The 17,448-nt window shown below is 42.2% G+C and overlaps 1 protein-coding gene across 2 annotated transcripts in view; it reads left to right on the forward strand.

The window, feature by feature from the left end:
• Positions 1–17,448, forward strand: part of LRRC72 (leucine rich repeat containing 72) — a 54,744-nt gene that overhangs the window by 11,299 nt on the left and 25,997 nt on the right. The window lies entirely within an intron of this gene.

Here is a 17,448-nt window from a genome sequence, read left to right on the forward strand (position 1 = left end):
TTCAATCACAAATAAGATATGCCCCCATCTATATCCAGCTATGGCTGACTGCAGAGGGCCACCTGCCTTCTTTATTAACTAGAAAGCCATGGTTGGCTGTTTTCCTTCCTTCTTATCTCCACTTCAGCCTTCTCCAGGTTTGGTATGGAATGGGGTGGTGTTGTAGTAGCAAAAAGGCAAGGGAGAAGCAAAGTTCTTTGCTTTGTACCCTATAGTACTAACAGATGTTCAAAGTTGATCCTTCCCGTTATAGCTTATTCAGAAGTTCCTCTGCTAGGCCTCTCCAACACTGACTCCTCTTCACTGGCCACTCCTGGCTCACCTCACCTTTATCCCAGGGTTACTTAAAACTGAGGGTCTTTTGGCCTTGGCAAATCACCCTCACGTGCAGAATCCCTTATACAGTGCCCCAGGTCAACGTACCTAGTCCTCAGACTCACATATCTTTGTCCTGCAATCAGAGGCCAAGAGGGTTGGTACATCCCAGTTGCTACCAGATATGGTTTGGCTCTGTGTCTCCACCCGAATCTCATCTCAAATTGTAATTTCCACATGTTGAAGGACGGACATGATGGGAGATGACTGGATCATGGGGATGGTTCCCTCCATGTTGTTCTCATGATAGTGAGTGAGTTCCCACAATATCTGATGGTTTTTAAAGTGGCACTTCCTCCATTGCTCCCTTTCTTACCTGCCACCATGTAAGATGTGCCTTGCTTCCCCTTCACCTTCTGTCATGACTGTAAGTTTCCTGAGGCCTCCCCAGCCATGTGGAATGGTGAGTCAATTAAACCTGTCTTCTTTATAAATTACCCAGTCTTGGGGAGTTCTTTATAGCAGTGTGAAAATGGACGAATACAGAGAATTGGCACTGGCAGAGTGGGATACTGCTACAAAGATAACCTGAATATGTGGAAGTAACTTTGGAACTGAGTAACAGGCAGAGGTTGGTGGAACAGTTTGGAGGGCTCAGAAGAAGACAGGAAGACATGGGAAAGTTTGGAACTTCCTAGAGACTTGTTGAATGGTTTTGACCACAATACTGATAGTGATATGGACAATGAGGTCCAGGCTGAGGTGATCTCAGATGGAGATGAGGAACTTATTGGAAACTGGAGTAAAGGTCACTCATGCTATGCTTTAGCAAAGAAACTGGTGGCATTGTGCCCCTGCCCTAGAGACCTGTGGAACTTTGAACTTAAGAAAATTATTTAGGGTATCTGGTGGAAGACATTTCTAAGCAGCAAAGTGTTCAAGACATAACCTGGCTGATTCCGAAAGCATTCAGTCATATGCATTCACAAAGAGATTATCTGAAACTGAAACTTTTATTTAAAAGGAAGCAGAACATAAAAGCTTAGAAAATTTTGCAGCCTGACCATTAGGTAAAAAAGAAAAACTCATTTTCTGGGGAGAAATTCAAGCCAGCCGCAGAAATTTGTGTAAGTAAGGAGGAGCCAAATGTTAATAGCCAAGACAATGGGGAGAATGTCTCCAGGGCATGTAAGAGATCTTCAGGGCATCAAAGGCCCAGGGCCCCGCTGCTCTGTGCAGCCTCAGGACTTGATGCCCTGCTTCCCAGCCACTCCAGCTCCAGCTGCTAAAAGGGGCCAAGGTACAGATTGAGCTGTTGCTTCAGAGGGTGCAAACCCCAAGCCTTGGCAGCTTCCACATGGTGTTGGGCCTGCAGGTGCACAGAAGAGACAATTGTTGAGCTTTGGAAACCTCCACCTAGATTTCAGAGGATATATGGAAATGCCTGAATGTCTAGGCAGAAGTCTGCTGCAAGGGTGGAGCTCTTATGGAGAACCTCCACTAGGGCAATGCAGAGGGGAAATGTGAGGTTGGAGCCCCCACACAGAGTCCCCACTGGGGCACTGCCTAGTGGAGTTGTGAGAAGAGGGCCATCATCCTCCAGACCCCAGAATGGTAGCTTCACCGACAACTTGCACCATGTGCCTAGAAAAGCCACAGGGACTCAATGCCAGCTCATGAAAGCATCTGTGGGGGTTGTACCCTGAAAAACCACAGGGGCAGAGCTGCCCAAGGCCATAGGAGCCCACCCTTTGCATCAGCATGCCCTGGATGTGAGACATGAAGTCAAAAGAGATATTGGAGTTTTAAGATTTACTGACTGACTGCCCCACCTGGTTTCTGAATTGCATGAGGCCTGTGACCCTTTGTTTTGGCCAATTTCTCTCATTTAGAATGAGAACATTTACCCAATGCCTGTACCTCCATTGTATCTTGGAAATAACTAAATTGCTCTTCATTTTACAGGTTCATAGGTGGAAGGGACTAGCCTTGTCTCAAATGAGACTTTGGACTTGGACTTTTGGGTTAATGCTGGAATGAGTGAAGACTTTGGGGAACTGTTGGGAAGGCATGACTATGTTTTGAAATGTGAGAAAGACATGAGATTTGGGAGGGGACAGAGGCAAAATGATATGGTTTGGCTCTGTGTCTCCACCTGAGTCTCATCTGAAATCGTAATCCCCACGTGTCAGGGGAGGAACCTGGTGGGAGGTGATTGGATCATGGGGGCAGTTTCCCTCATGCTGTTCTCATGATAGTGAATGAGTTCTCATGAGATCTGATGGTTTTAAAAGTGGCACTTCCTCTTTCATGCTCTTTCTCACCTGCCACCATGTAAGAGGTGACTTGCTTCCCCTTTGCCTTACACCATGACTGTAAGCTTCCTGAGGCCTTCCCAGCCATGTGGAACTGTGAGTTAATTAAACCTCTTTTCTTTATAAATGACCCAGTCTTGGGTAGTTCTTTATAGCAGTGTGAAAATGGACTAATACACTATCCAAGCTGATTTAACTTCCTCAGGAAGTGTCAGGCACCAGGCCACCATGCCCCCAAATGAGGGAACATGTCTCAAGATCACCAAGTGTGGCTGTTGAAGTTTCTCTTAAAGGCTAGGGTTAAGGAGGCAGTGTTCTCCCACCCCTCCCTCACAGTAAGGGCCTGAGTGTTGGAATCAAAGCTTTATCCAAGCAAAAGAGCAAGACCGAACTAAAATTCAAACCCAGACAATCACTACAGTAAGCTAGTGACTAGGTTGTTTGCAACTTTCAAAAATTCATCTTCCGACAGCTTGTATTTGTTCATTATACAGTATATTGATAACCCAATCTTAGCATTTTGAATGTAGACTTTCAAACACTAGCTGACAAAAGAAATAATTTGAGTTTTCAGTAGTCATCTGCCTGTCAAGTAGTAAGTCCAGATCTCAGCACTGAATCTGTAAACAGCCATGTTTATAACAATATTTCAATATTTTATTTCATTCTTAGTCTTTTTAAACACCAACTAAGTGGAAAATGGAAAATGAAAGTGCTTTGGTATTAACTATAAGCATAAATCTCATAAGCTTGAAATAATTTCTAGGAGAACAAACACAAATACCTTCAAGGCCCAGGCAGCTAACAGCTGGAATGGAAAGTGCACACTCCACTTTAGGGCATACAAATTCAAAACACTTTTAAAAAAACATACTGCTGGCTGGGCACGGTGGCTCATGCCTGTAATCCCAGCCCTTTGGGAGGCCGAGGCGAATGGATCACAATGTCAGCAGTTCAAGACCAGCCTGGCCAACATGGTGAAACTCCGTCTCTACTAAAAATACAAAAATTAGCTGGTTGTGGTGGCGGGTACCTGTAATCCCAGCTACTCGCGAAGCAGAGGAAGAAAATTGCTTGAACTCGGGAGGTGGAGGTTGCAGTGAGCCGAGATTGTGCCACTGCATTCCAGCCTGGGTGACAGAGCGAGACTCCATCTCAAAAACACACATACACGCACACACAGACAGACAGACACACACACACACACACACACAGCCAAAACTTGTCCTCGGTCACAGTGCGCGACTTCTGTTAGAAAAAGATGAAAATCATCAGGCATGGCAAAAGTGACTAATCTGTTTTTACTGTGTGTTCCCATGGTGTTCAGTGGTGTCCAGTTTGGAGGGAAAGAGCATGTACCAATGTCTAGAAGGGAGAGGTATAATTAGGGATTTTATAATTTTTTTGGAATATTTCTGGGAATGGATATCATCTGACTTCCAACTACTCATTGAATATTCACAAAATGGACTTGCAGATGCACCTGCGCTTAGAAAGGGATCGCATGCACCATCAACTGTTTTACTTTCTTTTGTTTTTGAAGGGGTGGGGCAGGAAAGGAATACAACAAAAGGCTGAATTTTTTCTCGTGCTTGATTATTTACATGCAACAAACTATATTATTTCTGTGAACCCCAAATATCTGAGACAGGTCTCAATCAATTTAGAAAGTTTATTTTGCCAAGGTTAAGGACATGTGCCCGTGACAAAGCCTCAGGAGGTCCTGACAACATGGGCCCAAGGTGGTCCAGGCACAGCTTGGTTTTATGCATTTTAGGGAGAGGAGACATCGATCAATTTTCCACCTGTGACCTGAAGGAGGCTTCCAGGTCATGGGTAGATAAAAGACAAATGGCTGCATTCTTTTGAGCTCCTGATAAGCCTTTCCAAAGAAAGCAATCAGATATGCATCTATCTCAGTGAGCAGAGGAAGGACTTTGAGTCCTGTGTGTCCTTTGTCCCCAAAGAATTTCCTTCTGGACAAATTGTGAGAGAGGTGTGTAGCTTTTTTATCTTAGTAGCTATCTTTTTTAGGAATAGAATGTGAGGGAGGTTTGCCCTAAGTAGTTCCTAGTTTGATTTTTCCCTTTGGCTTAGTGCTATTGGGATCCTGAGATTTATTTTCCTTTCACATTTCTAAAATCACTATCACTTAATTTGTTCTTTATGAAAGAGACTGGTTTAGTCCGTGTAGTACTGAAAGGATTTCATACCCAAAACAGCTTCTGAGTGGTTATGGGATAAGTAAAAAAGCTAATGTGAGTTTTCTTATTGATCAGTAATTGACTGGGTGCTAAGCTGCCTAAGTGTTCATACTCCATCAAAAATTAAAGTCTTATTCAGATCGCAAACTCTAACAGGCATATTAACTATTATAATATTTCATCAAAGTTCACATATAAAATTTTAATTATGAGTTTTCTTTAAAATCTAGATTATACTAGCTTGACCACTAAGAGGAAACTATGCCACTGTAGAAATGATATAGAGATTTGTGAAAAACATTGCCCTGAGATATGAATATATTTAGAGTCATAACACATCAACACATTGTTAAGAATGATCTGAAATCCTGACCAGCATTATTCTGACATTAGTGAATATTTTAGCTACCCTCTATTTAGGAATAAATAAGGCAAAAGGAGAAAAATAAAGGGAATGCATTTTTTTTGTTTATTCACTTATTCAATCCACAATATTTATTGAAGTATATGAGGTCATTATTTGTTGTCCATTCGTGTCTATTCTTTCCTTCTTCCTGTCCAACAGAATTCGGATTTGAGTTTTGGTACATACTCCTCCTCCATTCTAAATAGGTGGCCCCACTTAGGTCCATGGGTGGATCCTGAACTGTCTAAGCCAACCAGAATAATCCCACTCTTCTGGCAGGTGATTAGTCACTGAACAGGCATCTAACCTAATTGTAACAGACACATAAGGGCACATTTGCTGGGAGGTTCCTGGGAGAGGCTCTCTTATTCCTAAAAGGGAGTACTAGAAGAGTACTTTTGCTTCTGGATGTTTTCTTACCTGGATGTGAAGGCAGGAACTAACTATCCTATGAACTTGATGAAGCCAGCACTTAGAGAAAGGCAGAGCCCAGAGATTCATGGAGATGCCAAGACTAAGGCTATCACAACTTCTGCACGTGGTGATATGAGAGAAAATTAATGATGTTTCTTTATTTGCCAATTTGAGTTGGGCTTAAAAGTTACTTGGAGCCAAAAGCATCCTATTTGGATATAGCTTATCCTGTACTTGCATTAGGCTGCTACACAATACAACAATAAATGTGATTACCCCTGCTCTAGTGATAAAATTAGGAAGGGTAAAGGGAGTGGCTCTGCTCCTAGCAAGTACATTGTATTTGATAGCTGCCTGGAATGAGACAACACAGTTGTCTTTGAAGGCAATGAATGTAATTTGGTAAATTTGAAGCCTAGTATGCTGGAAGGGTGCATATTTCTTCAAATCATTATCTAGTGGGTGATAAAACTTGAGCTTCTGGTCCAAACGTGAACTAGCTGATGAAAAAGCACAAGTTTATTTCTAAGGACCTCCAACATCCTAGCTTTCCTAGATTTGCTTTGGCAACTCTAGTTCTTTCATTATGCTCTGTGAGGGCTTGTTTAGCTTCATATTGCATAGATATTCATTAGTGCTGCATCTCCTCCTTTTTGAGATCATGTTTTCCTAACACCCGCTGACATAATTAGTGGGAGGCAGCTGCTCTTAGGTCTAAAGTCTCCCTTCCTCGTTTCATTCTCTAACAAGTCTGACCCAGAGAATTTCAGGTCCATGAAATTCATTCTTTCCAGCCTCTCATGAAAGGTTGAGTTAGGCTCAGATAAATTACCTAAGTGACCTATATTTTACACAACAATTTATATGGCACATACATATAATCTTCTGACTTTGCTCGTTACTTCAAAAATTTTCTTTTATGGATGTCCAATAATGACTATGCATTCATAATATTGGTGCCACAATGTTAATATCCTTCTATTTCTGGAAGTACGACAGTAGCTTGGTATATTACATTTTGTCTCAGATGAAGAACCTGTCTAATGCCTCACCAAGCAAGTATTCAAAATGGAATCTGGGTTTCTGCTGTGCAGCAAAAACCAATGGTTAATGCATTTTATAAATTCAGTTTACATAAAAGGACGCTTCTGGCGAAGTCATTGTTTATAAACATCATTATCTAAAGAATAATTGAGATATTTATAATAACATCACTCACACTGACTAGAGAATGGTCAGATTTGGAATAAATGCTTTAACATTAGGACAAATACCTAATGCATGCAGGACTTAAAACCTAGATGACGGGTTGACAGGTGCAGCAAACCACCATGGCACATGTATACCTATGTAACAAACCTGCACGTTCTGCACACGTATCCCAGAACTTAAGGTAAAATAAAATAAAAATAAAGAGTAAATGTTTTAAGAAATATCTTAGGCTCAATCTTCGATACTGTTATGATTTCCTAGCTCCTAGACATGAAGCGCATATTGAGAATTCAGCAAATAGCACAAATTTATGTATTTTAGGAAGGAATATTGGTTTATAAAATTAGCAAATCATACTTTGGAAATTGAAATAATTATTTTTAATGTGCGGTTATAAATATTTGATAAAGAATTCTTTGAATGGCTGTACTTTTTCAGGTAGCTTTACAACGTGCTTTGTATCATGGAATTTCTGTTGGCCTCTTTAATCAGATTTATTTCTATATTAAGTTTGGGTATATGTATTTGTTTATTCATTTATACATACAATACCTTGTTCCAAAAAACTATTTAGAGCAGTACAAACTCCACTGTAGAATGTAAGAGCTATTAAAAAAACAAAATGAATTAGCATACATTCCATATATTTTGGGCTCTTATGTGTTTCTGTTACCTTAGGGCAACATGAATTATATCCTTTGTGTCAACTTTGTTGAAAAAATTATATTTTGCTCCATATTTTAAAACTTCTTTAAAAAGCAAATCAATATAAATAAACTAAATAACACTTCACTGCATGGTTGTGAAATTTGAAGATATGTACAATACATATCTAGTTATGTTTTTAATGATTTAACCAAAAAATATAACCTATTTTTCGAAACAGCAGGTACAAATATTTTAGTATGTTGGAAAAGAGAGGGAAAAACATGAGAATGAAAGTCTGGATTGGTTAAAAATAGTTACTTTTGAATATTTTTAAGGTATGGACTGTGTAAGTACCGTATATTATATTTTAAACTAAGATAGAAATGAATGCATTGTTTTAATTTATTGGATAAGAACACCATAAAAATAAACTTAGAAATTCTTAAAATATATTGAAATGTTTCTTTTTTACTCCTATATAATTTAGGGTATATTATTAAAATGCTTCCCAACTAATGTTTCATGTTCTATGTAAATTTAGTAAATATTGGGATTTCAGTACTAAACATACAATAACATACTGTTTTAGTTAACACATAAGTACAGAATTTTTCAGAATTTCATCATGTCGTTTAATCACTGGTCTATGTAAGGGACTTTGCCCCTACGGTTTTTCAACCTTGCTACTATTGCGTTTTGACCTGGATAATTCTTGGTGGTAGAGTCTGTCCTGTGTATTTCAGGATGCTCAGCAGCATCCTCGGCCTCTACCCATTAATGCCAGGAGATGCCCCCCAGGAGTGGCAAACAAAAATATTTCCAGATATTGTCAAATGCTCCCTGGGGGGCAAAATTCCCCCCACCTCCACTGAGAATCATTCAATACAGCAGACAGAGTGATCTGTGGAAACCTAAGTGAAAACATGTCACTCCTCTGCTCAAAACCTCTGGTGGTTTTCTGCTACATTCAGCCAAGTTCTTACAGTAGCCAACAAGGTCCTGTACACACTGGGCCTCTGGTTCTCTGTCTGACCTTATTACCTGCCATCTCTTGCTGGCTTATTCTGGTTTAGCCACCCCAGGCACTGGGGTGTGCACTGGACCTGTGCACTGGCTTGTCCCCAGTGCTGTTCCTACAAATATTGCAGTGGCCCTCTCCCTTCCTGTGATCAACAGTCTATTCAAACATTGCATCCTCCACAAGGCCTACTCTGTCCAACCCCACTAAAATGTAACACTACTTCACTCTACCACTTCCAACTGATGGTGGTGGCAGACCGTCTGGAGCAGTTGCTGCCATTATACCAGCTGCAGCAGGGAGGTATGGACAGTGGCAGCAGGAGCAGCTCTGGGAGCAGCAGTGGTGGCAGTGGGACCCCTGTGCCCTGCATCCCCAAGGCAGCCAACTGCACCACCTCCACCCTCGCACAGCCAGGCAGGACCCGCTCCCAGGCCCAGAGCCTCCACTGTGGCCTTAACCTCACTCCTTGCTGTGTCTTGGGAACCTGTGATTACCCAGCTGAAGACACAGCCAGGAAAACGTGGAGGGGAGGTGGAAAGGCCCTGGAGCCCACCCGAGAGACCCCACCAGAGCCTGCCACCCTGGGAGCTGCTGCAATGGGGCCAGGCCGAGTCACCCACTGGTGGAGGAGCAGTGTGGTTGGGCACGGAGTGGGGGGCAGAGAGGAGTCCCAAGGCAGAGCTGGGACTGAGGTGGTGCCATGCTCCACGGAGATAGCAGGAGCTCCCCAGGCACAACTACAGCTGCCCAAGCCATGGCTGCAACCTGGGCACCCCTGTGCTCTTGGGATCTGGGAGCAGGCAGGAGCCCCATCCTCCTAGGCACAGCTGCAGCTGCCCAAACTGCTGCTGTGGGCCCAGGCATCTCCCTGCACTCTCGGGGACCCAGGAAGGCCCCTCTTATGCCTGCAGGCTCAGAAGTGCCTCCTCCTACTGTCTGGCTTCTCCCTGCTGTCAGCACCCACTCCAATAACAGAGTAAAGTTGATCCCAAGCCTGGGCGCTGTCACAACCTGGCTGGGGGTACACACACTTGAGGCAATGCTGGTATGCCAGCCCCCTGCCACCTTGGCCCCCTCCAGACTTTGGGCGCCAAGAAGCATGGGAGAGAGGCTAAAGGGGAGCTGAAGGCAGCTCGGCACTGGCCTGCAGGTGCCCCTTGGCATGAACAACCTCAGCTCCATGAACAGCGGCAGGAGGCACACAGGTTCCTGGGCAGAGGGGGGCAGGTCCCCAATGAAGCCCCACCTTCAAGCTGGAAAGGGCCTAAAGGCTGAGGGCTGGGGTGCCAGTCCCATGGACCAGAGTGAAAACTTGTGGTACCTTTTCTGGGCCTGCCCGTGGCTGCCCATGAACCAATCAGCAAGCACTTCCTCCCCTCTAAGGCCCATGAAATCCCTAAACTCAGCCAGACTTGAAGAGACAACAGGACGACCAGCTGCAGAGAGGAGCTATCTTCTCTGCTGAGAGCTGGACACTTGTTGGGGCACCCTTGCTATGGACAGGAGCTGCCCACTGCAGGTCTTCTCTAAGGTGTTCTATTGCTCAGTAAATCTCCCCTTTGTCTTGCATACCCTCCAGTTGTCTGTGTACCTCATTCTTCCTGGATGTAGGACAAGAACTCGAGACCTGCTGAATGGCGGGGCTAAAAGAGCCATAACACAAACAGGGCTGAAAACACACCCCTTGCCTGCCACGTTGTGGGTGACAAGAAGGAGAGAAGAGAGAAGGGGAGAAGAGAGGAGAGAAGAGCTGAGGCCCTTTGGGGAACCCAGACCTAGGAGCTCCCCAAGCCAGGGCTGTGACACCCTCCTTAGGGTTCTGTGGTTCCTGGCATCTTCAAGCTTCTAGGCACCACACTGCATTCCCCAGTGTCAGTCGTGGAAGCTGCTTTTGATACACCTGGCCCAGCCACAGCCTCACAGGAAGCTGGTGCCCATGCCAATCCCTGGAACTGCCTGTCCTGCCACAGCCGGCTGGACCCCACACTTGCTCACACACCCCTCAGTGCTCTGTGCCTGGCTCACTCTTGACAGGCATGGGATCCAAGCTGGTAGCAGGAGCTGAGCACAGCCTTCCAGGCTGAGTGGGCAGAACCAGCCCAGCAGGCCAGAGCAAAACTCAGGCAAAGGTGCCACTGGCCACAGAGGTTTCCAGCTGGTGAAGCAATACCCCAAAGATCCCGCAACACGATCTCCAAGCTTCATTTTTTTCACAAAGCACTTATCAACTTAGGTCATAATATATAGTTTACTCATTGTATGTATTATTTATTTAATCTTTCCCTACTACAATAAGAGCAGAGAATTTTGTCTATTTTCTTCATGGCTGTTCCCCTCGAACTTAGCACGGAGTCTGGCACATAGTAGATGCTCAGCAAATGTTTGCTGAGTGGAAGAATGAGTAAATAAAAACTCTAATATTTTCTCATAAATACAATATTTTCATTTTGTCAGTGAATCCAAATGGCATGTAATTGGTCACCAGTTATAAATTTGAGGAAGGCAAGTTGATAATATTTTGTTTCGTATTTTACTTTTTGTTCATTTGAAAATGTCAGTTTCTGTTTATTGGACATCATGGCTAAGAATATTTCTTTGCATGAGTACTAGTTAAGGTAACAGAATTTCCATGACAGAAGCATGCTTTGGCCGATTTAAGCAGAAAAATAATTTATCGAAAAGATATTGGATAGATATTATGGAGCTTGAGAATCAAGTTCAGAAAGTTCTCAAAATCAAAGGGAGCCATGGTCAAAACCATGTCACAGAACTACTTTCCACAAACACTGTTTGTGGAAAAACAATCAACAATAGAAGCAGTGGCTTGTACTGCTGGTGTCACCAGCACCAGCCACTGGACACATCCGCTGTCACCACTACCACCATTTCCACTGCTATGGAAAGCAATATTTTTTCTCTACATCTCTACCATCACCAGAATTAACTTTCAACTGTCTCCGCTTCTTTGCATGAATAGCTCTTGATTAGAAGTTCAGAGTGGGTGCATCAAGGTCATGAATCCATGCCCTCCCTGCCAGAAGTCTGGAAAAGCAAATATCTTGTTTAATGGGGTGTAGTTTCTGATTGCCACCAAGACTCATTAGATAAGAAATTCCTTGAATTGTGGGGAGGAGTTTTAGATGCTACACAGCCAAAAAGTTATAACTGTGTCCCATATTTTATTAATGTTTAGAAAGATAAAAATAAAAGGAAATATATCTGCATTAATGATTCCTGTTAGAGTACCAGAAAAGGATAGTTATTAAATTAACAGATGTTTTCAGGTGAGGTGGCTCATGCCTGTAATCCCAGCACTTTGGGAGGCCATGATTAGAGGGTTGCTTGAGTCCAGGAGTTTAAGACCAGTCTGAGAAACATAGTCAGACCACATCTCTATGAAAATTTTTTAAATTAGTCATGTATGGTGGTGTGTGCCTGTAGTCCCAGCTACTTGGGATGCTGAGGTGGGAGGATGCTTGAGCCTGGGAGGGTGAGGCTGCAGTGACTGTGATCGCACCACTGCACTCCAACCTGGGCAACAGAGTGAGACCCTATCTCAAAAAAATAAAATAAAAAAAGGTGTAGAACTGAGAACTGAAGTATAGCAATGGTTCTATCACTAACCAGCTAATAACATACGGCAAATCACATAATATCTCTAAATCGATGTTCTTCTTAGACAATATGGGGTATTTATTCTTTCTGACTGCTTCCAGGGTTGTCATGAAAAATAAATGAGATGACAAGTGTAAAGTACTAATCAAAGAAACTTGCACACAGTAGTCACAGAATAAACAATAAGACCCAACCTCCTTACTCCTTTTCTTTATGTTGTTCTTAACATAGCTATATAAACATATAATATGAATTGAAAGAATTGGCTAATTCTCTAAGTTAGCAAGGGTTGGGCACATCTGCTCTCACTTGTCATTTCCCAGTTGCAACAACTTTCAATTCTTTTAAGTGATCTTTTGTTACTTATCAGCTTTTCTCTAAGTCACTTGCTGGTATTGCTGCTACTTTTTGATTTTTCTCTTCTAGAAAATAGCTATTGAATTTTCACTAAGGAAATGAGCATTTAATTCTTTCTCTTTCCTGCCCTCACTTCTACCACACACATGCATACTTTCTTTTGCCCATTCTCCTGATGTGGTTGTATTGTAATTTTGGTTAAATCAATATTCACTGGTATATTGTTATGACAAAGTATGCTATTCAGAGCTAAGCCATGTATTCAGCTTTATGTTTTCCTTGATTATACTTCCTTCAATTCCCCGGAGTTTATATTTGTTTGACTTTTTTGTTAGCTTTTTGTTAGGAACTGAATTGTGTCTCCCTCAAATTCATATGCTCAAGCCCTAATTCCCAGTCCCTCAGAATGTGGCTGTATGTGGAAACAGGGCATTTAAAGACGTGATTAAGCTAAAATGGGTCATTAGGGTGGGACCTAATGCAATATGACTAAAATCCTTATAACAAAAAGGAGACTAGGACAGAGAGAGCCAGAGACTAGACATATGCACATAGACAGAGATCACATGAAGACACCAGAACCAAATGGCCACCTACGAGCCAATAATAATAAACTTTTTGAAGCCATTCTTTATATTGATGACACTATTTGGGTTTAACGGACATAGTCCCTGTGATGTTATGAAATATATGTTTAGTCCCAGTCCTCATTTCCTGGCATACAACTCCCCAAATCCTTGGAATCTTCAAAGTGATAAGCATCTTTTAGTATGCTAAAGAATTGAGTGATGGTTGGCAGCTCCCAGGCAGCTTCAGGATGGGGGCTGGCCATCAAAAACACTAAGGCAAAATTAGAAGGTTGGGACTTCTGCTTCCTGGAAGCCCTACTTCTGGGAGGGGAGAGGGCCTGAAGGTTAAATTGATCACCAATGGCCAATGATTTAATCAATTATGCCTATGTAATAAAGCTTTCATACAAATCCTAAAAGACTGGGTTCAGAGAGTTTCCAGATAGCTGAACACATGGAAGTTCCTGGAGGGTGGTACCCGGGGGGAGGGCATGGAAGCTCTGCATCCCTTCCCCCATACCTTGCCCTATGCAGCTCTTCATCTGTATCCTTTGTAATATCCTTTATTAAAAAAAAAAAAAAGTAGATGAAAGTGTTTCACTGAGGTCTGTGAGCCACTCCAGCAAATTTCAAGTCCAAGGAGGGGGTAATGGGGACCCCAATTAACAGCCAGTTGGTCAGAAGCACAGGTAAAACAACCTGGGGCTTGCAATTGGCATCAGAAGTGGGGTGGGGGAGCAGTCTTGTGGGACTGAGCCCCGAACCTGTGAGATCTGATGCGATTTCCAGGGAGATGGTGCAGAAATTCAACTGGAGGACACACAGTTGGTGTCTGCTGCATAATTAATTGCTTGCATGGTATGTGGGGAAAAGCCCCACACATTTGGTCAAAAAAAGTCTTCTGTGTTGTGTGTGAGAGCAGAGGAGAAAATCTGTTTTTTCAACTCAGTCCCCAAAGCTGATTTCATAAGCTAATAATAATGAGTTGTTATGAAGCATAATTTCAGGAACATTCAAAAGTTTTCTCAGATCACACATATCTATTCAGGGATGTTAAAATCAACAATTACAGCAACATTGATTATAATCTTCTAATTTAAAAGAAATACCCTGAGATGGCTAATATATTAATCTTTAGGGAGAATATAATAGTTTACCTCTGGAACACGCAGAAATGGGACTCCAGAGCACGTGAAAGGAAATGAAGTGTGTGCAGAAAAAGAGGACATTGGGATGGCCAAGGTTAAGAAGATGCCAGGAGGAGAAAACGGAATGCTGAAAGGAAGAGTGGAAGAAGTCAAGAACAAGTGCAGTTACTTGTGTGTGATGTTGCTTAGTGCCGGTGTTGGATCTTCTTTTTAGTTTGGATTGATTGGTAACCATATGAATCTATCTAGCTTCTGCTGAAAAGTTCTTTAAAAAACATAAGAACACCACCTAAGAGGTGGGGAAAACATAGGACAGTTCCTGGAACTCAAAACTAGCTTGAGAGATGGCAGCTCAGTTAGAGCAACTGTCGAGAAGAACCCAGAAAACTTGAGAGGTCAAGTTAGATCAGGTAGGTAGAACAAGGCAGGCCAGGGCTCAAACCAAGTCTGAGAATGAGCTGCGCTGGACAGTTCAGCTTCGTGTCCTGAACGTTAGTAAAGTGCAGTGGTTTCCAGCAGGTACTCAAGCCTGGGTCAAAGCCTACCCAGTTCTACCATGTAGTAGCTGTATAATCGTGGGTAAATTACTTAACCTTTCTGTGCCTCAGTTTCATCATCTTAAAATAAGATAATAATATGCTCCTTCCTAATGAGTTTATAGTAAAGATTAGTAAGGCTACATTCTGTTTATTTTTACAATTTGAAAGTTTTCAGAGATTATTACATTTCTTCTTCTTTCCATTTCTGGTCAAAATTTTTGGATGCATTTTAGACACCTTTTGGGGCTATTGTTGAAATACTAGGAATAAATTGATGCATCGAATATTTTCCAGTGCTCAATCTAATAAACTAATATACTGCAAAATATTTTCAAATTAGTAACTTCTGGATGGTTTAGACAGAAGTCTCCCCAAATTAAAGAGCTCAGTTATGATGTAATATCTGCCAATCTTTGGTTTGGGAGTCAGATAGACTTGGGTTTGAATGTTCACTCTGCTACTACTTATGATCTCTGGATCTCGAGAAAGTTGTTTAACTTCTCTGAGCCTTGGTTTTCTCCTAGGTAAACTGGGGATATGGGGGTCAAATAAATAACATTGGGCTTTTGTTGGGATTATATTGTATAGTGTCTGTGAAAACATCTAGCTTAATGCCCAGCTCATAATAAGCACTTAATCAATATATTTTCTTCTCTTGCATCTAAATCAGCATTTCTCAACTGAGAGTGTTTTTGCCTCCCAGGGGGCATTTCACAATGTCTAGAGACATTTCTGATTGGGACGTGTATGCTACTAGCATCTACTGAGTAAGAAGCCAAGGATGCTAATGTACAACCCCCAGGGTAGCCCCTGCCCCATCAACTCCAACGAATAATTATTTGGTCCCATATATGTGGTTGTTGTAGAGATTAAGAAACCCTGAATTCTTCCTTAATTTTAAATTCATGGTGGTATACATTTGTACCTAGTAGTACCCTAGTGATTACCTGTATGTATTTTACATTAAATATAAAAGCTCCCAGCTCCATAAAATTAATAATAATGGTTAAATAATAGTCATCTATTGAGCACTTGTTATGCTCCAAGCCTAAGCTAAGACATATGATTTGTGAAATGCCACACTTAATATAAATCCTACAGCAATCCTGGGAATCAGTAATATAGATTTCTCTAAATGGATAATAATAATAACATTTTACGGCCAGGTGCGGTGGCTCACACCTGTAATCCCAGCACTTCGGGAGGCCGAAGCGGGCAGATTATCTGAGGTCAGGGGTTCGAGACCAGCCTGGCCAACATGGGGAAACCCCCATCTCTACTAAAAATACAAAAAGTAGCTGGGTGCGGTGGCACACGCCTGTAATCCCAGCTACTCGGGAGGCTGAGGCAGGAGAATCGCTTGAACCCGGGAGGTGGAGGTTGCAGTGAGCAGAGATTGCACCATTGCACTCCAGCCTGGGTGACAGAGTGAGACTCCATCTCAAAATAAATAAATAAATAAATAGCATTTTATTTTAATAATAGCTGAGTATCAGGACAATAGCATATCTTATAATGTTCCTGACCTTAACAACTTGCTATCTTGCAATGTCTATTGAATTCTACCTTGAAATACTACCTCAATTTCCTCCACTTCTTTCTTCTCCTGCAACCTTTACTCTACTTTGGGCCACCACAAATTCTTCTGATTTAGGGAAACGCCCTCCTTATTCATCTTCTGCCATTGTATTTAATATCCCCTGTAAATCGGCCATTTTCTTTCTAAAATCTAATTGGGCAATAACATTCTTCTAAACAAGATCTTTTAATAGCTCCCCAAGGTCCTCATGATTTGGCTTTGACTCCACTCCATCTCCCTTCACTCCCCCTTACCTTCACAAACACCGCAATCCTATAATCCCTATGATCATGGTCCAAGGATGTTAATGCTCGTGGGAAAACCATGATTCTATAATCAAGGTCAAACTGTCAGGTTTGTTAGTGTTCTTCTTGTTTTAATGAGCAACGCAAGAGAAATTAAAGTCTCAGCTAATGAGTTCTATTAATGTGTGGTTGGCAGGTAACTGGAAGAAGAGAGAGGAAAAAGTTCTGATTTCCACTGGCATTGTTTTCCTACGCTGATGTCAAGTGTGGCTATTATTAAAGCAGGGAGTGGTGAGAGGAAGAACAGAAGGCAGCGAATTGCTGCCAGGAGGCCAGTGGGAAAAGTTCGAAAGTGATAAGGAGCCAACAGGGACACTCACCTTCTGGCTTTGAATGGTTTCTCCTATCTTGGGGAAACACGGCTTCTCTCATGACATAACAAAACATTTGGTGAAATTACTAATGGTCTTCCAGGAGGAGTGCTGGCATAATTTGGTGGAGATGAGTCTGTGAACGATCAGATGAACAGCACATGATATGCCTTTTATAGCTTCATAATTTGTGAATGTTGCCAATATAAAAACAAAGTAAAGAAATTTCATCAAAGAAGTTAATTTTCAAACTTCGAATACAAATCTAAAAAGGCTTTTCTGAGATTTGAGAGGGGCATGAATAAAATGTCCAATAAATCCTCACTAAGTCAGATGGGTTGGGATCCTTTTTCTGAATCTGTTCATCAATGAGCAAAATATTTTTATTTAACTAATAATAATAGTTCCTGGCCGGACATGGTGGCTCACGCCTATAATCCCAGCAATTCGGGAGGCCAAGGCGGGTGGATCAGCTGAGGTCAGGAGTTCA

This window comes from Homo sapiens, chromosome 7 (genome assembly GCF_000001405.40).
Source record: "Homo sapiens chromosome 7, GRCh38.p14 Primary Assembly".
Lineage (NCBI taxonomy): Eukaryota > Metazoa > Chordata > Mammalia > Primates > Hominidae > Homo > Homo sapiens.